Here is a 1,686-nt window from a genome sequence, read left to right on the forward strand (position 1 = left end):
GGATAATTAAGGTAATAGGTGTCCCTGCCCTAAGAGGAGTCAGGGATCAGGAAACCAAGGGATAGGGGAAAGCCAAGCTTCATCAAAATCATTCCCTATTGTGAAATTCTTGCATTCAGTAAACTTCTCTTTTCTCATTTTGCAACGCCTCATTTCTTTCCTCTCCTTTCTTTCCTTCTCTTTCTTTCTTTCTTTCTTTCTTTCTTTCTTTCTTTCTTTCTTTCCTTCCTTCCTTCCTTCCTTCCTTTCTTTCTTTCTTTTCTTTCTTTCTCCTTTTCTTTTCTCTTCTCTTCTCCTTTTCTTTTCTTTTCTTTTTTTTTTGAGATGGAATTTCGCTCTTGTTGCCCAGGCTGGAGTGCAATGACGAGATCTCGCCTCACCTCAACCTCCGCCTCCCAGGTTCAAGTGAGTCTCCTGGTTCAGCCTCCCGAGTAGCTGGGATTACAGGCATGTTCCACCACGCCCGGCTAATTTTGTATATATGTATATTTTTTGAGACGGAGTCTCGCTCTGTCACCCAGGTTGGAGTGCAGTGGCGCGATCTCAGCTCACTGCAAACTCCGCCTCCTGGGTTCACGCCATTGTCCTGCCTCAGCCTCCAGAGTAGCAGGGACTACAGGCGCCCGCCACCCACGCCCGGCTAATTTTTTGTATTTTTAGTAGAGACGGGGTTTCACTATGTTAGTCAGGATGGTCTTGATCTCCTGATCTCGTGATCCGCCCGCCTCGGCCTCCCAAAGTACTGGGATTACAGGTGTGAGCCATCACGCTCGGCCTGTATTTTTTTTTTTTAGTAGAGACGGGGTTTCTCCATGTTGGTCAGGTTGGTTTCAAACTCCCGACCTCAGATGATCCGCTCGCCTCGGCCTCCCAAAGTGCTGGGATTACAGGCTTGAGCCACCGCGCCCAGGCACAACGGCTTGTTTCTATTGGAAAACCCCAGAATTTACTCCCTATAACCCCTCTCTTATTCTAATCCCATCCCTTTCCCCGTTTGTCCCGCAAACCCCATCTCCAAAGCCGATTTCACGTTGAGCTCAAGTTGGCCTTTACAAACTGACTTCTCATGTTCCTCAGGCCCAGCAAAGCCTGGAACTCCACCTTAGGGAGATTGTTATTGCGACTATCAACTCCTGGCAGCCTTGGTTTATGTAGTTAACATGTTGGGCCTTTCTTGGCTCTACTCTATGGTTGTGCAGACTTTCTGTGAGGATGCTGAAGTGACCTGAGCGAGCATGAGGGAAGGGCTAGCCACAGAGATCATGGACCTAATGCGGGCGCTGAAAATAGGGATTAGGGCAGGATTCCGGTTAGAAAGCGCCAGTGTTAAAGGCTAAGGAGACACAGCGCCCCCTAAAGAGGGTGCGGTTTAAAAATCGCTAAATCAGTCCGACAATATCACGTGTCCTCGGCCCTACCAATTGAAAATTAACAATCGCTTCTTCTGTTCCCCATGGAAACAACCCCGCCCCACTAACCCTCCCGCCCCAATGAGTCGTGAGGTTTTGGCGTTTTATTGAGTATTCAAGCTGACAATCAAACACCTGAGCCTTCTGGTTGGACACTTTGCTTCCGGTAAGCAAGCTAGTACAATAATTGGCCAATAAAGCAAGCCTTACCCAATGATCCTTATCCTAGGCGGGGCCTAATGGGAACGTATGGCCAATCAGCGGCGGCGTTTCTTTT

The sequence above is a fragment of the Homo sapiens genome, chromosome 12 (assembly GCF_000001405.40).
Source record: "Homo sapiens chromosome 12, GRCh38.p14 Primary Assembly".
Classification (NCBI taxonomy): domain Eukaryota; kingdom Metazoa; phylum Chordata; class Mammalia; order Primates; family Hominidae; genus Homo; species Homo sapiens.